The following is a 27,630-nucleotide window of genomic DNA, read 5'->3' as shown; positions in this document are numbered from 1 at the left end:
TATAGTATAGCAAATACATAAACCAGTAACATAGTTCTGTATTATCAAGTGTTATGGGCTGTATATAATTGTCATTAGGTGACAGGAACTTTTCAGCTCTATTATAATCTTATGGGACCGCTGCTCTGTATGTGGTCATTCATTGACCAAAACATCATTATGTAGCATAAGACTGTATTCAGATGGTATCAAATCAGCTGAATGTGGTGGCTTACACCTGTAATCCCAGCACTTTGGGTGGCTGAGGCGAGTGGATCACTTGAGGTCAGGAGTTTGAGACCAGCCTGGCCAACATGGCAAAACCCCATATCTACTAAAATTACAAAAATTAGCTGGGCGTGGTGGCACATGCCTGTAGTCCCAGCTACTCAGGAGGCTGAGACACAAGGATCAATTCAACCTGGGAGGCAGAGGTTGCAGTGAGCTGAGATCACGTCAGTGCACTCCAGCCTGGGTGACACAGCAAGACTCTGACTCAAAAATAAATACATAAATGCAATGAATGTTATCTTTCCTAAAAATTTTTTTAATAATGAGAGTGTTTCCATAGGCTAAACATATAGTTATAATCCTCAAACATCACTGAGCTGATCCAGCATTTAATTGTCTAAAGCGAAGTGGCTTTTTTCTCCTTTAACCACCGGCACGCTCATTATTGGAACATCTTGTACACTCTTTTTTATTGACTTGTTATATCTCTTGTTATTGCAAAACGAAGCTCAGAGCCTCTCAAACAAAGTAGATGCAATCGGCCAGCAAGAGCGTTCTTAATACACTATGTGGACGACAGAATTTTTTCTCTTTACTCACATTGCTAGTTGTTGGCCATCCCTTTACAATCAATACTTGTCCTTGCAATGCAAATAGTGTTCCCTAATTTCTCAAATTTTAATAGTCATGTTATGAAAACATAAATTGCAAGAGAACTGCCTGTTTCAGAGTTGTGCTTTCCACAACTGGCTGCACACCAGAATCGCCTGAGGATCTATTAAACACCACAGCTTCTTCTTTTTTTTTTTTTTTTTTTTTTTTTGAGACAGAGTCTTGCTCTGTTGCCCAGGCTGGAGTTCAATGGCGCAATCTCGGCTCACTGCAACCTCCACCTTCCAGGCTCAAGAAATTCTCCTGTCTCAGCCTCCCAAGTAGCTGGGATTACAGGCACACACCACCACACCCAGCTAATTTTTGTATTTTTAGTGGAGATGGGTTTTCACCATGTTGGCCAGGCTGGTCTTGAACTCCTGACCTCAGGTGATCCACTCGCCTCGGCCTCCCAAGCACCGCAGCTTTCTACCTGCACATCAGATGAGCAGAATCAGAATCAGAATTTCTGGGAGTAAAGTCTGGGAATCTGTGTTTTCAAGAAGCTTTCCCCAGGATTTAGTTGTACAGCCAGATTTGGAAACCATGATACAAGATGACCTTCTGTAGTCTCTCTCTCATTGTTTGGAAATCCTTTGAATGAAAAAAACAAAAAACCTCTTTTTTTCTTCCAATTAAGATTCTTGCAACTAATAGTTGCCCAATTAATTAATATAGAGAGAAGGAAAATAATTTATTATTCATTTGTTTGGGGAGGAGATAAATTTATTGAGAGACATCCTTAGAAGAAACTAAATGTAATTTTCTCTACAATGACCATGCAAGGAATAAATGTTTCCCAATAAAATGAAAGTGTCCAGTCGAGGCTGACCAAGGGTTTGATGAGACAATGGGTATGAAAGTATCACAACAAACATTGACACGTAATAGATTAATAACTGCTTAATAAGTATATTATTCCTTGTAGACTTTAATCTCATATTTTCTCAGTCTCTGTCTCTCTATGTAGGTCTCCAAACCTTCTTCTATTTTCTATTTATGGAGAATAAAACATATAACATTATTTTAAAAGTCAGAAATTTATAATATTAGGTATTATTCTCTGGAATGTAATTGGAATGAAATGTGATATTTCCAGTTTTACTGATTCACTGTTCCCTTAATTAGTCTCTAGTATACTAGCCCCTCTACATTAGAAGCTAGTTTTTCTCTATCCGTTTTCTTGAAGACTGAAGTTCAAACAAGAGTAGATCCCTTTCTTCTTTTTGATTGCAAAGCACTTTGTACCTAAGCTGTAGAGTTAACACACACTGGCTTTTAATTACCTAAATGTGCATTCATTTTTTCCATTTTGATTACTCTTTGTAAATCTCCATAGTTGCCTACCCATTGTAGATGCTCATTGAATGCTACTCTGTCCTATATATTTATTACCATTGTGATTGGTTGGATTTGGGGATATTATTTGCTCCTTTCCTGCCTTCTCTCTTGTATGAGAAAGCTCTCTGAGTCTTTACCGTCTCTCTTATACAGTGACTGGAAAGTGCCTTAACCCCAAATGGGCTTCCAATTTCTTCCGATTTATCTGTCATCGTTTCCAAGTTGTTTATTTTTTGCTTTCTCTACTTCCTTACCTCACATTCTCTCCTGTACACGTTCTAAGTGGTTTCTTTCACTGCATGGAAACTTCTCTCATCATGATCAGCAATGATCCAGGAGGGCCCATTGCTTTGTCTTGTGTTGTTGATTCCTCTGCAGCATTCAACAAAGCTGATGCTTCCTTTTTGAAAGATTCTTTCCACTTGACTCCATGACCCCAAGCGCTTAGTTTCTTTAGTGTCCTCCTAATCTCACACATTGCACTTTCTTCAACGGTTCTGCCCCTCAGTCAGATCAGTAAATATTAGGTGCCCAAGGGCTCTGTTCTGGGTGCTCTTTTCTTCTTTATTCACATCCTTTTCTCAGGTGATCCCATTTCTTCCCATGGGTTTAGATAAGATACACAGTCTATGTACAGGTGAATCCAAAAACATACTTTTGTTGGTACATTTTCTTAGAACTCCTGACTTTTCCATCAAACTGCCTGACACAGCCGTATAAATCTATTAGCCATGTCAAACACAACATGACTGAAAGAGAACTCCTGATTTCACCCCCAAATATCCTCCTTTTCTAATCTTCTTCACTTCCCCTAATGACATCACAGTGTACCTTGTTTCCTGGGACCCAAACCTGGGCCTTATCCTTGATCCCTCACTTTCTTTTGCCTGCCACTCACTGAGTCTTGGGGATTCCCATGATGTATCCTAAATCTATCCATTTCTCTTTGTCTCCATCCCTGGCACCCTAATCTCAGATACCCTAATTTCTAGGCTGAAAAACCTTTTAACTCATTGCCCTGCTCCAAGTCTTGCTTCTCTACATTCCACTTTGTCCAAAGCAGAGTAAACTTTTGAAAACAAATCCAGTGATGTCATACATCCTCTCCCCATGACTTAAACCTATCAATGGCTTTGACTCTGCAGTTTAGACTAAAATTCAAATTATCTGTCTTGATCTATAAAATTGTATATTAGTGGTTCTTAAGCTTGCACACGCACCATAGTCACCAGAAGGTCTATTAAAACCCAGAGTGCTGGGCCCCACCCCAGAGTTTCTGATTTGGTAAACATGGAGTGTAGGTAGAGAATTTACATTTCTGACAAGTTCCCAGGTGATGTGGGAACAAACTTTATAAACCATTACTCCATATAATCTGGCCCTGCCTACCCTTGATCTGAGCTCCTATTAACTTTCTTCTCTTTTTCTATGCTCTATCCACTCTGGGCCCCCTTTTCTCAAAATTAGAGCTCTTCTTTTAATTTTAACTTTTTATTTTTTTAGAGACAGGATATCACTCTGTTGCTCAGGCTGGAGTGCAGTAATGTGACCATAGCTCACTGTAACTTCAAACTCCTGGGTTCAAGCAATCCTCCTGCCTCAGCCTCCTGTGTAGCTAGGAGTACAGATGCATGCCACTAGCAGGCTAAATTAGAACTTTTATATTAACATTCAGTCTTTCTGGAAAACTCTTTTTCCAATCTTGACTTTGGGACTGATGTTTCTTTCTTGCTATTGAAATCTTAATTTAAGTCACTGACACAGAGAGGCCCTCCCTCACCACCCAATCTAAAGAACTCCCCAAACTGTATTAGTCCATTTTTGGTGCTGATAAAGACATACCTGAGACTGGGCAACTTACAAAAGAAAGAGGTTTAATTGGACTTACAGTTCCACGTGGTGGGAAAAGCCTCACAATCATGGTGGAAGGCAAGGAGGAGCAAGTCACACCTTATGTGGATGGTGGCAGACAAAGAGAGAGCTTATGCAGGAAAACTCCCCCTCATAATAACCATCAGATCTTGTGAGACTTACTGTCACGAGAACAGCATCGGAAAGATCTGCCCCCATGATTCAGTTACCTCCCACTGGGTCCCTCCCACAACATATGGGAATTCAAGATGAGATTTGGGTGGGGACACAGCCAAACCATATCATTCTGCTCCTGGCCCTCCCAAATCTCATGTCCTCACACTTCAAAACCAATCATGCCTTCCCAGCATTCCCCTAAAGTCTTAACTCATTTCTGCATTAACTCAAAAGTCCACAGTCCGAAGTCTCATCAGAGACAAGACAAGTCCCACAAGTCCCTTCCACCTATGAGCCTATAAAATCAAAATCAAGTTAGTTACTTCCTAGACACAAGGAGGGTACAGGCATTGGGTAAATACAGCCATTCCAAATGGGAGACATTGGCCAAAAGGAAGGGACTACAGGCCCCATGCAAGTCTGAAATCCAGCGGGGCAGTCAAATCTTAAAGTTTCAAATGATCTTCTTTGACTACAGGTCTTGCATTCAGGTCCCACTGATGCAAGAGGTGGGTTCCCATGGTCTTGGGCAGCTCCACTCCTGTGGCTTTGCAGGATACAGCCTCTCTCCTGGCTGCTGTCATGAGCTGGCAGTGGGTGTCTGCGGCTTTTCCAGGTGCAGGGTGCAAGCTGTCAGTGGATCTACCATTCTGGGGTCTGGAGGATGGTGGCCCTCTTCTCACAGCTCCGCTAGGCAGTACCCCAGTAGGGACGCTGTGTGGGGGTTCCAACCCCACATTTCTCTTCCATACTGCCCTAGCAGAGGTTCTCCATGAGAGCCCTGCCCCTGCAGAAAACTTTTGCCTGGGCCTCCAGGCGTTGCCATACATCTTCTGAAATCTAGGTGGAAGTTCCCAAACCTGTTTGTGACTTCTGTTCACACTCAGGCTCAACACCACATGGAAGCTGCCAAGGCTTGGGGCTTCCACCCTCTGAAGCAACAGCCCGAGCTGTACCTTGGCCCCTTTTAGTCATGGCTCGAGTGGCTGGGATGTGGTGCACCAAGTCCATGGACTGCACACAGCAAGGAGACCCTGGCCCTGGCCCAGGAAACCATTTTCTTCTAGGCCTCGGAGCCTGTGATGGGAGGGGCTGCTGTGAAGCCCTCTGACATGCCCTAGAGACATTTTCCCCATTGTGTTGGAGATTAACATTCGGCTCCTTGTTACGTATGCAAATTTCTGCAGCTGGCTTCAATTTCTCCTCAGAAAATGGGTTTTCCTTTTCTATCACATTGTCAGGCTGTAAATTTCCCAAACTTTTATGTTCTGCTTCCTTTATAAAACTGAATGCCTTTAATAGCACCCAAGTCACCTCTTGAATGCTTTGCTGCTCAGAAATTTTTTTCGCTAGATACCCTAAACCATCTCTCTCCAGTTCAAAGTTCCACAAATCTCTAGGGCAGGAGCAAAATGCTGCCAGTCTCTTTGCTAAAACATAACAAGAGTCACCTTTGCTCCAGTACCCAACAAGTTTCTCATCTCCACCTGAAACCACCTCAGCGTGGACCTATTTGTCCATATCACTATCAGGCTTTTGATCAAAGCCATTTAACAAGTCTCTAGGAAGTTCCAAACTTTCTCACATTTTCCTTTCTTCTTCTGAGCCCTCTAAACTGTTTCAACCTCTGCATGTTACCCAGTTCCAAAGTCACTTCCACATTTTTGGGTAGCTTTTCAGCAGCACTCCACTCTACTGGTACCAATTTACTGTATTAGTCCATTTTCACACTGCTGATAAAGACATACTCAAGACTGGGCAATTTACAAAAGAAAGAGGTTTAATTGCACTTAACAGTTTTATGTGGCTGGGGAGGCCTCACAGGCATGGCGAAGGCAAGGAGGAGTAAGTCACATTTTATGTGGATGGTGACAGGCAAAGAGAGCTTGTGGAGGAAAACTCCCCCTTATAATAAGATCTCACCATCAGATCTCGTGAGACTTACTATCCCAAGAACAGCACAGGAAAAACCTGCCCCCATGATTTAATTACCTCCCACTGGGCCCCTCCTACCACACCATGGGAATTCAAGATGAGAATTGGGTGGGTACATAGCCAAACCATATCACTGTCTTTATCAGATCACTCTATTATAATATTCTGCACAGCACTTATCACCATCTTATTTTTCTTCTTTAGTTGTTCATTTTAAGTAAGCTCCATGAGACCATGGGTTTTATCTGTTTGACTCACCACTGTAGCCTCAGCAACTGAGAAAAATGCCTGACACAGAGCAAATGCTCAATAAATAAACACCAAATGATTGAGGAAGGGCTCCTAAATACTTAATACATGAATGAGGCAAAGACAACATTGAGCACACTTAAACTCAACTACTGGTGAGCTTTTGTGGAAGAAGAGATTTCCATAGAGAATAATGGGCCAAGAGTCCTCCCTTTACCTCTCTTGCATTCCTCAGCTCGGTTTCCTTCTTTTGAGAGTTAAGTTTGATTGGATCCAGTTCATTGCTTCTCTGGATTAATGGTTCTCATATTTGGGCATTAGAAACAAGTCCTTTAAAGAGATGAGAGACGTAATTGTGTAAAATTGACAGGGCAGCAGAAGAGCTGTGCTTTTACTTAAAAGAAGTAAAAATAATAATGAATAATTATAATAATAAAAGTAATTTATAGATGGATTTCAGGGTGGGCATAGTGGCTAATGCCTGTAATCCCAACACTTTGAGAGGCTGAGGCAAACAGATCACTTGAGCCCAAGGAGTTTGTTTGTGTGTGTGTTGTTTTTTTTTTTTTTTCATCAAGATGGAGTCTTGCTCTATTGCCCAGGCTGGAGTGCAGTGGTGCAGTCTTGGCTCGCTGCAGCCTTCACCTCCCAGATTCAAGCAATTCTCCTGTCTCAGCCTCCTGAGTAGCTAGTACTACAGGTGCATACCACCACACTGGTTAATTTTTGTGTTTTTAGTAGAGATGGCATTTCACCATATTCGTCAGACTGGGCTCAAACTCCTCACCTCAGGTGGTCCACCCACCTCAGCCTCCCAAAGTGCTGGTATTACAGGCATGAGCCACCATGCCCGGCTGAGCCCAGAGAGTTTGAGACCAGCTCTGGCAACATGGTGAAACCCCATCTCTACGAAAAATCCAAAAATTAGCTGGGTGTTATGGTGCATACCTGTAGTCACAGCTACTTGGGAGGCAGAGGTGGGAGGACCACCTGAGCCTAGGAAGTCAAGACTGCAGTGATTACATCACCACACTCCAGCCTGGGTGACAGAGTGAGATCCTGTCTCAAGAATAAAAATAAATAAATAATTAAAAATAAAAGGATTGTAAATTAAAATTTTGAAACAATTAAATTAATAACAAATCGGTAGCACATTTCAAGTTTGGGAAATATACTTACTTTAAATGGTCACCTCTCATTCTCTATTTGAGTCCTTTTTGTTTCTTTCACAGCATTTATCATAACTCAATTTTATTTTTGTTTTTTTTTGGTCTAGTTTTCTCACTTAAACTTAGTATGAGATCTAAAAACAATTGTGAAACAGTGAATTAGAGGATGGGAAAGTATCTTTTTATTGTCATATTGACAACCCCAACACTTGTCATTTAGTAGGCACTAAATAAATGCTTGCTGAATTGAATTGTTTCCCCTTTCCAGATGTGGAAAGGTACATCTGCCAGTGAACTGGTGGCTTCTATGAATTTATTGATCTGTTTAGGTCAGAGTATGGTTAATCAGTGCTACATGCCATGGTGTGCTGAGACTGATTCCTGCTGGTCCACAAGATCTAATTGCTATGTTTTTAGGAATCTTATGAGCTGATTGATGTCACGTTGGTACCTTGAAAGCAGCTATGGTGGGAGTACTAGTAAATGCAAATTTTATTTATTAGAAATCAGCAAACGCTGGGAGGCTGAGATGGGAGGATTACTTGAGCCCAGGAGTTCAAGGGGGCAGTGAGCCGAGATTGCACCCCAGCACTCTAAACTGGGGCACAGAATGAGACCCTGTATCATTTAAAAAAAAAAAAAAAAGAAAGAAAGAAAGAAAAGGAAAAACTAAAGAGAAAGAAATCAAGGCAGGGCACAGTGGCTCACACCTGTAATCCCAGCACTTTGGGAGGCCAAAGCGGGCGGATCACGAGGTCAGGAGATTGAGATCATCCTGGCTAACATGGTGAAACCCCGTCTCTACTAAAAATACAAAAAATTAGCCAGGCATGGTGGCGGGTACCTGTAGTCCCAGCTACTGGGGAGGCTGAGGCTGGAGAATGGTGTGAACCTGGGAGGCGGAGCTTGCAGCGAGCCGAGATGGTGCCACTGCACTCCAGCCTGGGTGACAGAGCGAGATTCTGTCTCAAAAAAAAAAAAAAAAGAAATCAGCAAATGCAACATACCAGATATTTTATTTCTTCAGTTTGTTTGTTTTATAGCCAGTTGTTCCATTGCTGTCTGAACATGAGAATAGTAAACAAGTATTGATTTCTTTACTGCCTAGTTTCCATCTCTCGATTTTCTGATACTAGACTCTGGTTGAAATGACTGGTCTAAGACTTTAAGAAATAACTGAAGCTTTGTACCCTTTGACCATCACCTGCCTGTTGGCAAGATAAATAAGTTTTAGAAATCTGTATAGCATAGTACCTATAGCTAATGATACTGTATTGTAGACTTAAAATTTGCTAAGGTAGAGCTTATGTAAGTGTTTTTACCACGTGCACACACACACATAAAATAATAATAAAGGGAATGGCAGGAAACTTTGGGAGGTGATGGATGTCTATGGCCTTGTTGGTGGTGATAATTTCACGGTGTATACTTATCCCCAAACTCACTGAGTTGTACACATTAAATATATACAGCTTTTTAATCTGTCAATCATACCTCCTTAAGGTGGTTTAACAAAGGTAAACATAGGATACAAGTTGACTCCTGATCTCTATCACAATTTTTCCTTATGATTTCCAAACAGAACTGGGAAGGAAAAGTCCTCTTTGTTGTGGTGATAAAGCTGCAAAGATTAGAATTAGGACCGTTCATCAGGCTGTTCTATCTTTGCCTTCCCTATGGTTTAGTGATCTTAAGCCAGTGAGTTCTGCGTTCTTCCAATCCTCCCTGGCCCTTGACTTTTTTTTTTTTTTTTTTTTTTAATTTAAACTTGTTTGAATTGGGTTTTAGTCATTTGTACACTAAAGAATCTGACCAATACAGTACAGATAATCAAAGTTAATAGTTTATTAAAAGTGTACCTATAAATGTGATGCAGCATAGAACCGTGGAAGTATATTGGATTATTAAACCAGAAAACCCGAGTTCGTCCGAATGCCAGTTCCATCAATTAGTAGCTGTGTGTAGCTGGGAAAATTATTTAGCCTCTCTAGACTTTCATTTCTTTAACTGTAAAATGGGAATAAGACTGCCCACTCTGATTTTTCCGCAAGGTTTCTAAACTAATCAAGTATGACAATAGATGTGAAAATGTTTTATAAAGCATAAAGATACCTGTATCTGTGATAATATTAATAACTTCATGAGGAGAGAATGGGATTTATCAAACAAATTGATCACTAGAAAATATTTCTGCTATTTCTGAATAGAACAATTTATAAATGTTGAAAGTTTTCAATGTCCTTGGTCATTAGGTTGCACAAATGTGTACTGAATTTTAGGAATAAACAACAATAGCAGCAAAAGTGGTTCTTGTCCTCAAATGCTTATTTTTAGAATAGTTTGGGGTGAGAATATGGGAGAAGAAAGCATTGAGTAGGAAGTCAAGAGAACTGGATCCTAATACTGACTCAGTCACTAACCAACATATGACTTGAGGCATGTCATTTCACTTCCCTGGACCTCAATATTCCCACTTGTACAATGAAGAGTTTGGCCTAGTTCTCTAAAATGCCTTCTGGCTCAATAAGTCAATAATCCTAATTGAGTAGACAGGGCATGCACACATGAACAGATACAAGAATGCTTACAAAGTAATTTACCAGTAAGTACACACAAGCGAAGGGAGTGTATGTTAACTATTTAAGTGGATCAACTGAAAGAGTGACCCCCGCTGAGTGGTCCTACTCAGGAAAAGTATTGACATCTTGACTGATGAGCTCTATCTCAATGAACTGCTTATGATAGTAAATGAAAAAATAAATGTTCATCACATGAAACTGAACTGCATGCATTGACATCTCCACAATAGATGCACAAATCAAGTGAAGTTCTACTTGGTGTTTGCTAGTGCCAGACACTCATATTCCTTGTTTTACTTCATTCCAGAGAAGTTCAGCAACTTGCCAAAGGTCACCCAGCTAGCAAGTGGTATAATAACAATCAAATGTAAATTTTTTTTGATTTATTTTTTGAGACAGAGTCTCACTCTGTCACCCAGGCTGGAGTGCAGTGGCGTGATCTCAGCTCACTGCAAGTTCCGCCTCCTGGGTTCACGCCATTCTCCTGCCTCAGCCTCCCAAGTAGCTGGGACTACAGGTGCCCGACACCACGCCTGGCTAAATTTTTTTTTTGTATTTTTAGTAGAGACGGGGTTTCACCGTGTTAGCCAGGATGGTCTCGATCTCCTGACCTTGTGGTCTGCCCACCTTGGCCTCCCAAAGTGCTGGGATTACAGGCGTGAGCCACCACGCCTGGCCCAAATGTAAATTTTTTGATGCTAAGTTCAGCATTCCCACTGCAGTACCGTTATTAACTACAACCCACTTGACCTTACCCCATTGCTTGCAAACAGATTTGACTCTAGACCTCAAAGAACCTGGTCAAGCAGCTGTATTTGTCTCCCCTCAAACTTTGACTTGCATAATACTTTTATGTTTTACAAAATTAAGTAAATTTTTTCTGTATTTGCAACTCCGTTATTTTTTCTGTTGCTGAAATTCCAGGAGCTGGCAGTTGCAGTTCCTACTGATTCCCTGTATATCAGTGGGGACTAGTAACCTCAATACACATGTGACTTGCTTGGGCAGCTTCCTGTCCTTCAATTCCCACCATACCCAGATGACTCTTGCAACAATAATTCCTTTACAGTAAAGCATTCTTCTCAATTTTGAAGATAGAGAATTCTTTGTGAGTAGGAGAGAAAACATTATTACTAAGTTTCTTTGTAATACTTCTTCCTCTTCCATCTTGTTAGTCTTTACCACAGCCTCACTCTGGTTTGGCCACTGGAGTATTTCCTTGAGTTCCTACTAATAGATTAATGCATGGTGCTTTATTAAGACTTATGGATGTGTCACTCTAGTGCCATGCTAAGCATCAGCTGCTCTAGGGGGCAGCTGCAGTTCTTCCCTTAACATGAATCCTTTCATGATTCCTTCCATAACTGCAAAAAATTAAATGATTAGGCCATTCTGCTAGTGCCTAAAGCAACTTCCTACAATCCCCCTTGTGAGTCCTCTATGGGAAATATTCCATACAATGAGATGAAAATAAACAGAGAGAAGTAAGTATATCTATCATGTGCCAGGCCAGATACTCTGTTTCAGAAAGCTCAGAAACAATAATGAGAAGTTATATTCTTTCTCAGTCAGATCCAATTGCTTAGTTTCAGATTGCACACAGTGAGCTGGAATCAGCTCGGGGGTGTCAGTCTTCATGAGTGTGCATTTGCTGCAGTTATTCAGCAGGTTTGCCCTTGAAAGCATGCCTCTTCTTTCAATACTGCACATTAGAGAGTGTTCTATAGACCAGAGGTAACATGTCATGCATGTAGGTTAAAATAATCCTTAAAATTAGAATTATATAAAGGGTGCTCCTACTAATTGCTGTATTTTGTTCACTCTGAAAAAGCAGAAATGTGACTGGTGGAATCCACTTGGTTCACATTGCTATGTTTTAGAGTTCCTAAGAGAGGTATTTAACTTGGGGCTTTCTAAAGGTGACAAAAGATTAGCTGAGAATGATCAACTCCAAAGTGTAAAATGGGAAAACCTCCGTTCAGCTTAGCATACATTCTTTTACAGGGGAGAAATTTTTGAGATTTAGCAGCTCATCATTAATTATTTTTAAAAATATAAAACCATTTACTCATAAGTTTAGGTAGCAATTTTGTTTTTACTATTGAATAAATGATAATATTTGATTTACTACATACGACAGTTCTATCTGGAATCCAGGTTGTATAAAATACTTTTCTATTATTAAACTTTAAAGATAAGTCACATAAATATAACATGTCTTTTGTTTTATTAAAGTAAAGCTGATTGATATTTAATTTGTATACAGTAAGAGGCTGGGCACAGTGGCTTATGCCTGTAATCCCAGCACTTTGGGAGGTCAAGGCAGGCGGATCACCTGAGCTCATGAGTTATAGGCCAGCCTGGCCATCATCGCAAAACCCCGTCTCTACTAAAAAAAAAAAAAAAAACAAAAACAAAAATTAGCATGATGGTGCACGCCTATAGTCCCAGCTACTCGGGGGGCTGAGGCACGAGACTCACTTGAACCCGGAGGCAGTTTGCATTGAGTCAAGATCGCGCCACTGTGCTCCAGACTGGGTGACAGAGCAAGACTCCATCTCAAAAAAAAAATGTAATAATAATAGTAATTTGTATACTGTAAGATTTATCCTTTTTTGGTAAACAGTTTTATGAATTTTGACAAAAATATACAGTTGCATAACTGCCTCCACAATCAAGATATACAATATTTCCATCACCCACAAAATTTCATTCATGTCCCTTGTAGTTAATCTTCTCCACCTCCTTCAACTCTTGAGCCTTTGGCAACTATTTGTTCATTTCTTTAACTGTAGTTTCGTCTTTTCTAAAATGTCACATAAATGAAATGAACAGCATATACTTTTAAAATCTGGCATCTTTCACTTAGCATACAGCTTTTGAGCTTCATCCTTGGTGCCTGCATCAATAATTTGTTCCTTTTTGCTTTTAAGTAATGTTCTATTGTATAGCTATACCACACTTTCTTTATTCATTTATAAGTTAATGAACATTTTCCCACCAGTTTTGGCTAATACCAATAAAGCTCCTATGAACATCCATGAAGAAGTTTTGGTATAGACATATGCTTTCATTTCCCTTAGGTAACTACCTAGAAGTGGAATAGTTGGGTTATGTACTGAGTACATATTTAACTTTTTAAGAAGTTGCCAGCTGTTTTCCAAAGTGGTTATATAATTTTACATTCTTATTAGCAGTGTGTGAGAGATACAGTTGCTTTACATCCTCACCAGCATGTAGCATAGTTAGTCTTTTTAACACAGCCCTTCTAACAGGTGTGTAGTAATGTCTCATTGTGGTTTTAATTTGCACTTTCCTAACAAGTAATGAAGTTATTAGGTATGAGTAGATGCTCAACAAATCACAAGATATAGAGCATGTTTCCATATACATATTTGCCATTCATTTATATTCTTTGATGAAGTGTCTAAATCTTTTCCATTTTTAATTGAGTCATTTCTAATTATTAAGTTGTGAGGGTTCTTTATATATTCTGGATAGTAGTCCATTTTCTGATATGTATATTACAAATATTTTCCCCTTGTTTATGGCTTTTATTTTTACTTTCTTAACAGTGTTGTTCAAAAGAAATTTTCAATTTTTATTAAACAAAAGTTTTCTTTTATCAATTTTTTTGATACTTTATGCTTTTTGTACCTATCCAATAATTCTTCGACTAGCCTTCATACATACTCTTTAATAAGGAAAATAATTCTTTATAAAATCTGGAGAAAAGTTCTCTATAGCTGCAAAACTTTGCTGAAATTTACATCTCTGCAGATGTCTTTAAGGTAAATCTCTCTTATAGATATAATAAATCCAACTGAATTATTTTAGTTCACAGTGCACTTTTCCTAATAAGAATTTCTCTGTGTTGGTAGAGCTACTTGTAGATATTTTTCTTTTTCTTTTGATGTGGGCTCTCACTTTGTAGCCCAGGCTGGAGTGCAGTGGTGCAGTCTCAGCTCACTGCAGCCTCAGCCTCCCAGGTTCAAGCCATCTGCCCAGCTCAGCCTCCCAAGTAGCTGGGACCACAGGGGTACGCCACCACATGCAGCTAATTTTTGTATATTGTAGAGACAGGGTTTCTTCATGTTGCCCAAGCTGGTCTTGAACTCCTGGACTCAAGCTATTCACCCACCTTGGACTCCCAAAGTGCTGGGATTACAGGTGTGACTCACCATGCCTGGCCGATATTTTTCTTTTTATGCATGTGAGTCACTATTAGGTACTAAGGTATACATAGAGTTCTTTTGCCTGGTCACTATCATGAACATATTTTCTGTTGCAATAAGTTATTCAGTGTTCTTTGACCTATTTTTGCTTTTTAATTACTTATCTGTAAATACATTAGTCTACAGTTTAATGACATATTGAAAATCACTTTCTTTTTTATGTAAAGACTGAGTCAACTCTATAATAAAGAATGCTGTGTTTATTTCCTGAAGTGTTGATTTAGTTAAGTAAAATAGTGGAATTTCATTGTTGGCAATAATTATCATTGTGTTGTTAAATGCATTCTTGCTTTTTTGCCTCAGTTTTTAAAGAAGTCTTTTCTTACTGTTTAATTTTTGATGTGACATAATATATTTCATATAACAGTTGATAATTGTATAAGATTCTTCACAGAAACAAATCATAACAACAGAATTAGAAATTTACCTCATTGGGCAAGTTTGTGTTTGCCTTAGTACTTAATATTGATTATGTCAGTTAAGAATATTCATGGTTCTTTAGTGAAAAAAATTCATTTGGATTTCTTCTCTACATAGGCAGTTACTTCCTCATTCAGTTGTATCACCAGGACAGCCACTGGGCCTCTGTGCTACATTTCATGGTGCCAATATCTATTTCTTGTTTTGGATTATGAGTTTCTTGAGGACAGGAACTATGCTTTATTTGCCTTCATATCCCCAGTATCCCTTACAGGACCTTCACACAGACACTGGAGATCTGAAGGTGTGTTACTAAAATGATGTCTGGATTAGTGCAAACTAACAAAACATTAACTTTCTGTATTCATGTGTTCTTCTAGAAACAAAGGGCAGTATTCATGGAGATCAAAAGCTGAGTTTGACATCAGACTTGGGTTCAAATCCCAACTCTGTCACACAATGGCTATGCTACCTTGGACAACTCGTTTACCTTTTGTGCATCAATTTTCTCATTTATAATACGGAGATGGTGACACTCAGCTTCAGGTTGTTTTGAGTGTTTAATGAGTCACACAAAGTGCATAGCACAGGGAATTCAATACATCGGAGCTGTTTGTAGTGGAAGCAAAAAAATGTATTTCCATGTTTGCATTCACATCATTGCAGTATTCTGTCTTACAAAAATTTAAGATGTTGAGCACTACAGGCCACCATCAAAATGCAGTATTTGTTTTAGAGCAAATATGTTTTTCTATATCCTTTGAACCATCTAGAATTTTCCCTACCTGTCCAAATTCCATTCTATGTATCACAGATCCTATTGCATCTGTTGATGTCTGCTTCACTTGCATTTTCTTAATGATGTGTTATAGTTGAGTCTCATATCAGCTGGAAGGGTTACGACTTCCCAAAAGAAAAGTTCACAAAGTCATTTCTGTATTCCACTCGCAAATATAGGGCTCTCATCTGGTTTCTGCTTTATTCAGAGACAGGTAAATTCACTACCAAATACTGGAAAATGGTCATAAACATTTAAAATATGTTTGTAAAAATGTTCTTATAATTTTAAAATATTTTAAAGTATTATCTGCCTACACTCACATGCATATAGAATGCTGTAGCTGAATGCATATTATACCTTTCATTCATTCACTCATCTATTTTTCCATTTAAACATTTCTTAAGTACCTACTGTATGCTAGCTCACCATATGAATTCAGTCCTAGGAATTCTTAATAATATGCAAACTTGCTTCTCACAAGTGTCTTAAATCAGAAAATTATGGATTAAGTTCACCTAGAAAGTCTGTATTTTCTGAAAAGTAACCCATCCAGTAACATTTTTATGTGCAAATAACTGCAAGGGCACAATATGTGTTTTTAAAGTTTTAAAAATCAATCTTTGGAGAGTGATGGATTTAAACTAGCTTTACACGCATGCAATTACCCTTCAGCCAGCTTTCAAGAGTACCCCCAACCCATTTCAATTTAACATCCTCTAACCCCCCATGGATATTAAGACATTGTGTCTGTGCCATCAATTTTCGAATTTCTTGTGAACTGAAGAATTCAAGCATGGCAGAGACAATCTTCCCTAGGACACCCTGTTACTCATCATTTCTCCAGTGTATGTTCATGCTGATCCTTAGTTTGGCTCAATAGAGCTAAATACATATCTTGTTGCATCTGATAATTTAACAGAAGAAAGCCAAGATTCCTGGAATCATCTGGGTGTTGTTTTACAATAATTTTTGTTGTTATGATCAGATGTCTTCCATACAAAACAGGCAGATCATTGTGGCCTCAGGTGATGTGATTTTGCCTCTCATTTCCCCTCTTTGTTTTCTGAACCCCTTTCCTTGCCTCCCTCCTCTTTGACGGCTCACTCCCCACAAACACATACACTTATAAAACACACACACCTAGGTATTCAATTCTGCAATTTTCCTGAAGTCTTAGGCTAATGTTTCCATTAGTTTGTCTTTGCTTCTTAGGAGCAGGATAATTGATTTGCCTATATCCGGATCTATACATTATGTATTAGTAGATGGGAAATCACACGCAAATGGTAGGACTTGGCAGGAGGCATCAACACAGATTAGCTCAAGCTGATCAAATAATAACCACAAGTCAGCTCTGCTCTCTGCTCAATGAGTCTCCAGAGGAACATCACGGGAATCTTTTCTATTTTTCAGAATGGCTTTCCCTCTCTTGTACTCTTAATAAAAACATTTATTCCCTGGGCATCCTAGGGTAAAATTTAGTCCTGATCAGCAATAGTCATCATCGCATTAAACATTAAAGGGGAGAAACGCAATGGGGCTGTCGGAGTTCAGGGAATAATGGAGAGAGAATTAAACTGGCATTAAAGCAGCAATTAAGCACTTGCTAGGCAAAGTGTGGAATCCAAGGAAAACCAGAGGGAGTTAGGTAACTGACAGGTTGGCCCTGCGAAGAGGAAAGGTATTGGTGCATCCGCTGAATCTACAAATAGAACCTGAGAAGGAGGAGTTGCCAGAATTTTCTGGCTGAGAGAAAACGTTTTATCAGCAATGGGCTGGAGGCCAGCAGTGTAAATTTCCACTTAAGTCTGAATATCTGAAAAGGGTCCTTGCTCTTTTTAGCTGTCACTTAACAGATAGAATCTGGATGGGTATTTGACCAGGCTGAGTCATGGCCTCTTTCAGAACCAAAGAAAAAGAGCTGAGGGGTTTGTGAGTTCCTTGTCATTAGAATGTCTCATTAGAATTAAAATTTTTGCCTAACCTACAGTTTTACAGTGTTTAGGAATGCTGTGACCTCCTGCATGTGTCTTAACCTTGTACCGGTGGCTGGAGGGATGAAGCTAAGGGGCAGCAGGTCAAAGGAAGTCAGAGAAATTGGAGGCTACTCTGTAGGCTAAAGTTTCCAACTAGGGTTGGTGGAGTGGATATGTCTTATATGAACTGCCAGATACACTGAGACCAAGAGAACTTGCAGGGTGGAGATTAACATTCCAGATGAGGGGATTTAGAAGGGTCACTGGACCAGCCAGGGGAGGCAAAAACATGTACTGTAAACCAGGGAATGTGGATCCAGGGAAAGGAGCATGAGGAAGCATGGAAAAATCAATGCAAATGGTCAGATTCCACCTTTTAACTTCCTGCTGTTGCATGAAAGGCCAAATGATAATTGGGTGGATTTCACTCTTGATTTTGACCTCCTTGACCCCTCCCAGTGTCTTTAACTCCACTGTCTCTGACCTCCTGTGGGTCAGGGCTATATGGTGATGCGTACTTGGGCTTAACCACTTTACAAAGGCATTTCAAATCTCAACCACCTTTGCCACTTAACAAGCATGTCACTTCAGGTCAGTTTATTTACCCTTCTGAGCCTCCATCTCTGTAAAATATAGGAAATAATTCCTACCTTGCAGAAGTGTTATGAGGGTTAAATGGTAAGAGGTATGTAAAGCTGCTATTTTAGAATCTGACATGGTGAATGTATGATACTATAGTTATTAACCTGGCTTATTACCAAGAGTCTGACAGCATCCAACCTCGGTTTGTGTCCTGTAGAAGCCCATTGGTTTGTTGGCTTCTAACTGGAAAGGATTATTCCTAGAATATACCAGTTCCCTGGATATTCCTAGCCCAGCAACCATAGCACTCCTGGAGATGAGGGTTATTTGTCATTTTAGGGGTTCCACCAAGGAGTGCTCTTTAGTTATCTCGGTCATCCCAACTTGTGGGTTGTCCCTTAGCCTTTTGTTACTTTATTAAAAGATCTAAACTCTTCAGAAAAACAACCTAAGCGGCATTTCTCCCCCACCATTCGGTGATTCCTCTACAACTCAGGGACAATTTTAGTCTTGATTCACATGCTGGATGACCAAGAGTTAACTCAAGAGCTAGTGAAAAAATTCTGACATTACCTATTTTTAAACCACTGCTGTTAAGGTCCAACACAGTTTTTCTAGGCATTAAGCATTTGGTTAAGTGTTTCAACATCAACTGGTATATGGGATAATGCACTTTGAATTCAGTCCAAACAGCATATTTAAATAGCCAAGTACCATTTAATATTCCCAGGCATGGAATAGAAAAATGATATTTCTGCTTATTTCTTTTTCTTTAGTAGTCTCCCTACATAAGACAGACTAGGATCTGTAAACACAAACAATACGAAACTCACTTTAAAACAAATAGTTGGTTGCAATAACTGTGATCTAGGAGGAATAACTGACCTTTACTGGCATACAGTTTGCTTTGCCTGAGGAAATTCGATTTTTCAATGTGATATTCTTGGGCAAATCTCCTTTGTTGAGAGCATTTTTTTAACATGTGGGGCTGTCAACTCCTGCCTTGCTCTGCCTGCCCTTATTTCTCTTTCACTGCAAATTGAAAATATCCCACTCTAAGCACTTCATTTCTAGTGTTATTCTAGATCAATCTAATGGAGGCCAGACCTGCTCTGTGAGTGAGATGGCCACAGGCCAAACTTGAGCCTGCCATTTGACCAGGAACTCAACTGGCCAGCCAGTAAGGGACTTCTATATTTTCTAGGCCATTGTGAAGGAATCAGTGGCAACACACTGTTTTCACCATTATGACTTTCAATTTCCCATTTGTAAAAAGGAAGAATCTGTGCTTATTCCCATATCACGATCTTGAAATGAGATGTTTAAAGCCATGAGAGAATTAAAGATGAGATCAGGAATATCAAAGACTTGGTAATGTAAAAACATAAGGACGTCACTTGAGGTGAATACCTTTTTAATTATTTCTTCCAAGAATTCCTTTTTACTTAGAAACCAAGAGAGTGTTGTCATGATTATGGCAAAGTCAGCCCATTGAAGGGAGATGGATTAGAGAGTAGGACCTTTTGCCAAAGCTGTTTTGTGGGCTTGGAATGTTAACACCAGATATTGGTCAATGATTCCATTAGGTTGGGTCCATATGCAGAAAGACACCTGTGATTATCAGATGGCAGATATTGAGTTGTTTGAAAATTCCTAATTCTACCAGATTCCTTCTTAGAATTCTTTCTACTCTATAACTTTCTGATTCTGTTTTTGTTTAACTTGAGCAGTTTGTTGTAGGAGCTTGGGCTAATCACTTTCCTCTTGAAAAAATAGACCAGATCTCTTATGGAAAATGCTTGGGTAGGAGCAAATATGGAGGTTGTGAAGATAAAGTCATCTTTACAGAATGGAGTGGGGTGAAGGAGGCAAATACTAACTGTCATTTTTTAAAAAAATCACCTGTGCCAGGTGCTTTTCACTCATTATCTCATTTGCTGCTCAAGCAAACTTGGAAACATTTAGGTATTTTATCTATTAGTAAACAGATCAAAGAGGTTAACTGACTTCACCAAGAACCCTTTGTGAGTAAGTGGCAGAGATAAGATTTGAACCAGGTCTGTCTAAATCTAGAGCACATACTCTCTCCGTTGAAACCCACTACATCCAGCAGATATTGCAGTGGAGGAGGAAACAAAGTCAAATGAATAGTAGGACCTGGAAATGTAAGTGCTTCCATGGGTATATACGAACTCTTCTTGGAGGAAAGAAAATGCTGGTAAAGCCTTGAGGATGAGTAGGACTCTGAGAGAAAGAGATGAAGGTTGGAGAGAAGAGGTCAGGAGAGGGGTAGGCAATAGGCTGAAAAATTAGCAAATGAATGAAATGAAGGAAAATGGGTTGTTCCAAAATGGCAGAAAATTCAGTGTAACTCAAATGTAGGCTGTGGGAGATGAAACAGTCTGTGCCAGGAATGATAAGACTGAGAAGATGGGCGGAGGGCTTTAATTCCACAGCTCAGTGTGTGATTCAGTTCCAAGCAGCTTACACTGTCCGTGATGTGAGTTCAGAGGAGGAAAAAAGTTGCATGAGCATTTGTTCCTTGAATCATTTTGTGGAGGAAATTCTATGCTGACAATGCCTTTCCCGGGCTCTGTTTCTCATGAGATCTTTGAAAACACAGACCCTGGATCTCTATGTAGAAGAGTGCTTAGTAAGTCAGCTAGTGGATCAAGAAACCTTCTGTCATTCCTCAAACCCAGGGTTATCTGTTCCCTCAGCCAGCATAGCTGCCAGAGATCCTGGAGAAGTCTGAAAGAGCTTACCCATTCATAGGCTTATCAGTTAAGGCAGCTCAGAAGCTGTTTGTGAGAAGATAGCAGGCTTCTAAAGGGAGCAGGGGAAATGACAGAGCAAAACAAAACAAAAAAAGTGTGTGTGTATGTGTACATATATGTGTATGTATTATGTATGTATATGCATATTATATATAGGGGTGTGTGTGTGTATGCGTGTGTGTGTGTGTGTGCATGTGTGTGTATTTTCTTCTTGGCTGGGCCTTAACATTTTGTTAAGGAAAAGAATTCTTCACGAAAAGAAAATTGACATTAGAATTGAGCTGGGGAATTTTACTCAATCAGGGCTGTTTTCAAAGAATAGGGCACATAATCTCAGGTGAGTTTGCAGGGTTCAGGTCTGAGTGCACAGCCAGATGTCTGCACTGGGGATTCAGAGCAAGGCCAAGTAAGCAGACACCCAGTTTTGCAGATAGCTATCTGTCTCCTGTTCCGGAAGCAGTGACGGACTCATGGCACACAGACGGGTTATTATTATATTAGCTGCTGAGAACTCATGTAGGCTCTACTTCGGCCTGTCTGTGGGCCTGTGTGGCAGTGGAATCGAGTGGAACATAGTGGACTGATTTAGCAGTCAGATCTACATTAAAATTAATTCATTTACTTAGCACGTATTTATTAAGGACTTATTATATGCTAAGACCTGTGTTAGAGAATTATCTAAACTAGAAAATAAGACAGAAAATATTTCTTCCTTAAGGAACTTGCATTCCCTTTTGATCTACAGATTTCGTTTTTTGTTTTTTGTTTTTTTGTTTGTTTTGAGACAGAGTTTCACTCTTGTTGCCCAGGCTGGAGTGCAATGGCGCGATCATGGCTCACCGCAACCTCCGCCTCCTGGGTTCAAGCGATTCTCCTGCTTCAGCCTCCCGAGTAGCTGGGATTATAGGTGCTCGCCGCCATGCCCGGCTAATTTTGTATTTTTAGTAGAGATGGGGTTTCTCCATGTTGGTCAGGCTGGTCTCGAACTCCTGACCTCAGGTGATCCACCTGCCTCGGCCTCCCAAAGTGCTGGATTACAGGCATGAGCCACCGCGCCCTGCCCTGATCTACAGATTTCATGCTGTCTATTCACTACCATGCACAGAAAACCTTTTCCAGAGAGGGTTCTATTGCAGGGGTTGGCATACTATGGCCCACAATCCGAACTTGGCTTACTACCTATTTTTGTACAACCCAAGGATTAAGAATGGTTTTTACATTTGCTGGGGAGAAATTTTAAAAAATATTTTGTTACGTGAAAATTATATGAAATTCAAATTTTATTGTCCATAAATAAAGTGTTATTGGAACGCAGATATCCCCTTTTTCTTATATTAAATATATACAGTTGGCCCTTGAACAACATGAGTTTGGACTAACTGAACGGGCCCACGTATATGTGGATTTTTTACAATAAATCTCTCCTGCTTCCCCTTTAACCTCCTCCACCTCTGCAATGCCTGAGAGAGACAGCAAGACTAACCCCCTCCTCCTCTTCAGCCTACTCAATGTGAAGACAGTGAGTATGATGACCTTTAGGATGATCCACTTACACTTTAATGAATTGAAAATATATTTTCCTTTCCTTATGATTTTCTTAATAAACATTTTCTTTTCTCTAGCTCACTTTATTGTAAGAATACAGTATATAATACATATAACATATGAAATGCATGTTAATTGACTATATTACTGGTAATGTTTCCAGTCAATAGTAGGCTTTTAGTAGTTAAGTTTTGGGGGAGTCACAAGTTATAGGCAGATTTTTGACTGCCCAGGGGATCAGTACTCCTAACCTCTCCATGGTTCAAAGGCCAGTTGTAGACGTTGGCTGCTTTCACACAGCAGAGCTGGGTAGTTGTGAGAGAGACTGCAAGGCTTGCAAAGTCTAAAATGTTTACTATCTGGCCCTTTACAGATCCCCGGTCTAAAGTCTCTGCATGTCCTCACAACATTCTCCTCCCAGTTCATTCCACTCAGGCTGTCTCCATCCTTCCACAGTGGCTGCTTTTGATTAGTAAAACAATGTTTTTCATGTTGCCAGATCCAGGGATTTCCTGTTACTTGACCTTTCAACAACATTAAAGACAGTTGGTGTTTCTTTTTTTTTTGAGACGGAGTTTTGCTCTTGTTGCCCAGAATGGTGTGCAATGGCCTGATCTTGGCTCACCACAACCTCTGCCCCCCAGGTTTAAGCGATTCTCCTGCCTCAGCCTCTCAAGTAGCTGGGATTACAGGCACGTGCCACCACGCCTGGCTAATTTTGTATTTTTAGTAGAGACAGGGTTTCTCCATGTTGGTCAGGCTGGTCTCGAACTCCCGACCTCAGGTGGTCTGCCCACCTTGGCCTCCCAAAGTGCTGGGATTACAGGCGTGAGCCACCGCGCCTGGGTAGTGTTGGTAGTGTTTCTTTTCACACTTTTTTCTCCAGGCTTCCATGACACTATATCCTTATCTTACCTTACGACCCACTGTGCCACCCTCATTCTCAGTAAAGCCAAAGGTGTAGAAAAGTTCACTGTACTTGGACAGCCTGTACTTGCTTTGCAGGAGACATTCTGAAGTTATAAAACCCCTCCGTGGAGCTACATCCACATCTGCCCACATCCACCTTCAGGCTGGTTCCCCAGAAGTTGGGCTATCACCCTGCTACTAGCTATTCGAAAAGGGAAATGTCAGTGCATTTTAGGATCACTGTTTGTGTCTTGTGGTTCAGTGATATACCCAGATCTCCACACTGTGCTCCACTCAGGGATGTAACTGGATTAGAGGAGAGATCAGGAACACAAAGTTGGGGAGTTCTTCTCTGCAACACAATTCTCTGTAACATGAATACCAGAATGGTGAAAGAACTATAACCTTCAGTAGGAAAGAAGAAAACCCTCCGCTGCCTGAAACACGAGCAGAAGGTTTTATCACCCTATATGAAGAAAATGAAACACAATTGGAGGCCGAGGGGGGCGGATCATGAGGTCAGGAGATTGAGACCGTCCTGGCTAACACGGTGAAACCCTGTCTCTACTAAAAATACAAAAAATTAGCCGGGTGTGTTGGCGGGCGCCTGTAATCCCAGCTACTCAGGAGGCTGAGGCAGGAGATTGGCTTGAACTCCGGAGGCGGAGGTTGCAGTGAGCCGAGATCACGCCATTGCACTCCAGCCTGGGTGACAGAGCAAGAGTCCTTCTCAAAAAGAAAGAAAAGAAAAGAAAAGGAGAAAAAACACAAGCATCTGTACCCAGGTGTTTCTCCCCAGCGTGGGACTTCCCTAGCCTTTGGCAGGTTGCACTTCCTCCTGTGTGCATGATTCTAGTTCTACCAGCATTGTCTCACACCTACTAGATGGATTTCTACTCATGGGATGGAGGGCAGTTTAGTATTACCTGGGGCATTCTCCAGCCCCTCTGAGCTGCCTATTTGGATTGTCCAAGTATCTCCCAAGATTCCAATTATTGTTATCAATAGTTCCCCAGTTACAAATTTCCATAGGCATTAAGTGGGTTGCCCTAACTCCATACTCCACATAAGCCTTGTTGTTGTTAAGTAACGTTTTGTAAAACTTGAGGTTATTCAGAAATGCATATGTCATGTTATCTCAGCAACACCTATACTGTGCACAGGGTGAGATTTGATGATGGTATCAAACTAGAATTTAGGTCTTGGAGTCTCAGTGAAGCCTCTACAAGACCTCTAGCACAAGAAGGTGTGTCGCTTAAATGACATATTGCTTTTTAAACCTAAGTCTTAAAATGGTTAAGCAGTGCTAGAAGCTCTGAACCTGATTACCTTGGGTTGATAAATATGAATGCTTTAATTCATGGAGCTGAGGTTAGCCTTGGATTCCTGTGGCCCACCAAGCACTACCTCCCTCTGAGGCCCAGGGTGACACCAGGCATGTCTTGGACTCTTTCAAGGGTAGCAGCAACCTTCTCTACTTGCCTACAGGCTTGTCCCTCATTATGTTCTCAAACCAGAGCCCTTGGGATTCACTGGAGGCTTTGTCCTTTATTTGCTTGCCTTTCCTGGGAACAACCAGGTCATTTTGAGTTTTATTGTTTTCCTGTTTGGTTTGGTTATTTCATTTAGAAGGCTTTCCTAGAGTAAATACCTCTCTCATCTCCTCCTGTCATTCTCAGGAGCATATTTCCCCTCATCCTGCACTGCAGCGGTGAAAGGCAGCTGCTGTCATGGGCATCATAAAACGTGATGAATAGTTGGTCTTTTTGAATCTGGCATAGGATGACTTTCTTTACTTTCTATTCTATTGTTCAGGGAATTAAACGTTCTCTGTGAAATGCATCCAGCAGCTTTCAGTCACTCATTGCACTTGTGGTGACCAAGTGATGCAATGTTGGGAGGACTAATAATTGATGGGGCTTGGAGGAGGGAGGGAAGAAGTAGAGGCATCATCTCAAGTCCCAGAGACTTATCTCAAGTTACAATATCAAGTGAATGGCTTAACTCTGAGGTTTGTTCTAAAAGAATACTTGAAGAATCACGTATAATTTTTAACATATTTAAAAGCATACATTGAGCTCTCCGCAAAGAACAATTTCATTAATTGCTGGTGTTGCAAGCTAGAATCATAATCCCTTTCTTATATTGCAGAGCATGCTTCCAAAGTATCTTCTTTATATACTCTCAAATTAAGGAATAATTTTTTTTTTTTTTTTTGAGACAGAGTCTCGCTCTGTCGCCCAGGCTGGAGTGCAGTGGCGGGATCTCGGCTCACTGCAAGCTCCGCCTCCCGGGTTCACGCCATTCTCCTGCCTCAGCCTCCCAAGTAGCTGGGACTACAGGCGCCCGCCACTACGCCCGGCTAATTTTTTGTATTTTTAGTAGAGACGGGGTTTCACCGTTTTTAGCCGGGATGGTCTATTAAGGAATAATTTTAAAAAACAATAAAACTGAAATATCTTCAAGGATGCTGCTGACATAATTCTCTTCTTCAGATATCATGGGGTTTCCAAATGAGATCTGTTTGTAATAATATTATCATTCACAAGTTTCCAAAGGCTTTCACTTAATCTTTTTTAAATAGTCAAAATATTAATGAACAATTTCTTATACCATAGGACACTATTATTCCAAAAGAGGATACCTAGAATGGGGAAATGACAATCATACTGATATTTTGTATAATCAAACTAAGATTATAGGAATTTGTCTCAATTAGGAAATCAGATTAGGAAGAAACACAGAGATCATGTTGAGCTATTGTCACCAGTGTCCTTGAATTGGCAATAGTGCAGGAAGCATGTAGTTCCTAGGTTCCACTTTTTCCTTTTTAATAATAACTTCTTTGACACTTTGAAAGACCGACCCCAAATCTGCCATTGGCTTCTCATCACCTCAAGAACAGTTAAAACTTTCTAACATGGTATTCCAAATACCAGGTGTTCTATCTCCCCATCTCCATTTCCCTTTGCAGCACCATATGCATTGTATGCACAAGGCACACAGAATTCTCATGATTCAGCCATGTTATTTTTATGTCTGTGGTTTTGGACTTCTTAGAATGTCCTTGTACCCTTTTGCCTGCCTGGACAATTCCTTCTCAATGCTCAAGCTTTAGTTCAATGGTTACTGCTATGATTTGAATGACGATGTCCCCACCAAAATTCATCTTGAAATCTAACCTCAATCCAACAGTATAAAGAGGTGTGGCCTTTGGGAGGTGATTAAGACATGAGAGCTCTACCTTCATGAATGGGATTAGCACCCTTACAAAAGGGTCTGAGGTTGAAGGGAGTACTCTTGCCTTTCCATCCCTTCTGCCATGTGAGGACACAGCATTCCTCCCTTCTGGAGGATGCCACAAGGTGCCATCTTAGAAGCAAAGAGTAGCCCTCACCAGACCCCAGTCATGCCAATGCCTTAATCTTGGACCCTCAGCTTCCAGAACCATCAGAAATAAGTGTCTATTTTTTTATAAATTACCCAGGCTATGATATCTTGTTTTAACAGCATAAAAACAGATTCAGATAGCCACCTTCTAAACGAAGGCTTCTCCAACCCTCCCTCTCCACTTTGTGCCCTGGCTATGAACATATTATATCCTTTTTTGTGTCACCCCAAGACCTTACTAACATGTATATATATATCCATATATACATACATATATGTATATCCATATATACAATATGTAAACATATTGTCAATGAACAATATTGCAATTATTTACATACTTACTCTTTATTGAACTGTGTGTTTCTTGAGGGAAAAGGCTATATTTAATTAATTTTGGTTTTCCTAGTACCTAGGGTAATATCTGAAACATAGCAGGCACTCCAAACATAGAAAATATTTGCTGATTAAGGAATTAAAATAATTTTAATAATTTTATCAATTGACACATATTTACTGAGCTGCTCTATTTTCACACTGTGCAGGTGCTATGGGAATATGAAAGAGGCGATTATTTCTCTACTCTTGGGGACTTTATCGTTTAACTTGGAAGGCAAGTCTAACACATTTGTAACAATTACAGCACTGTTTGCCAGAGTGTTCTGCATAACACTCCTTGTGGAAGTGCCACTTCAGAAGGGTTTGTAGTCAATTAAATGTGAAACTTTGCATATTATATCTTCCTTTCAGATATTTCAATGTACATATGCACATAAACACTCTGAGAAATCTCGTGATAAAGTAGCCTTTGTAAATCCCTAATCTCATGTGACAAGGACACCTTTATTTGCCT

Source organism: Homo sapiens, chromosome 17, assembly GCF_000001405.40.
Source record: "Homo sapiens chromosome 17, GRCh38.p14 Primary Assembly".
NCBI lineage: Eukaryota > Metazoa > Chordata > Mammalia > Primates > Hominidae > Homo > Homo sapiens.
This window is presented reverse-complemented; position numbering follows the sequence as displayed.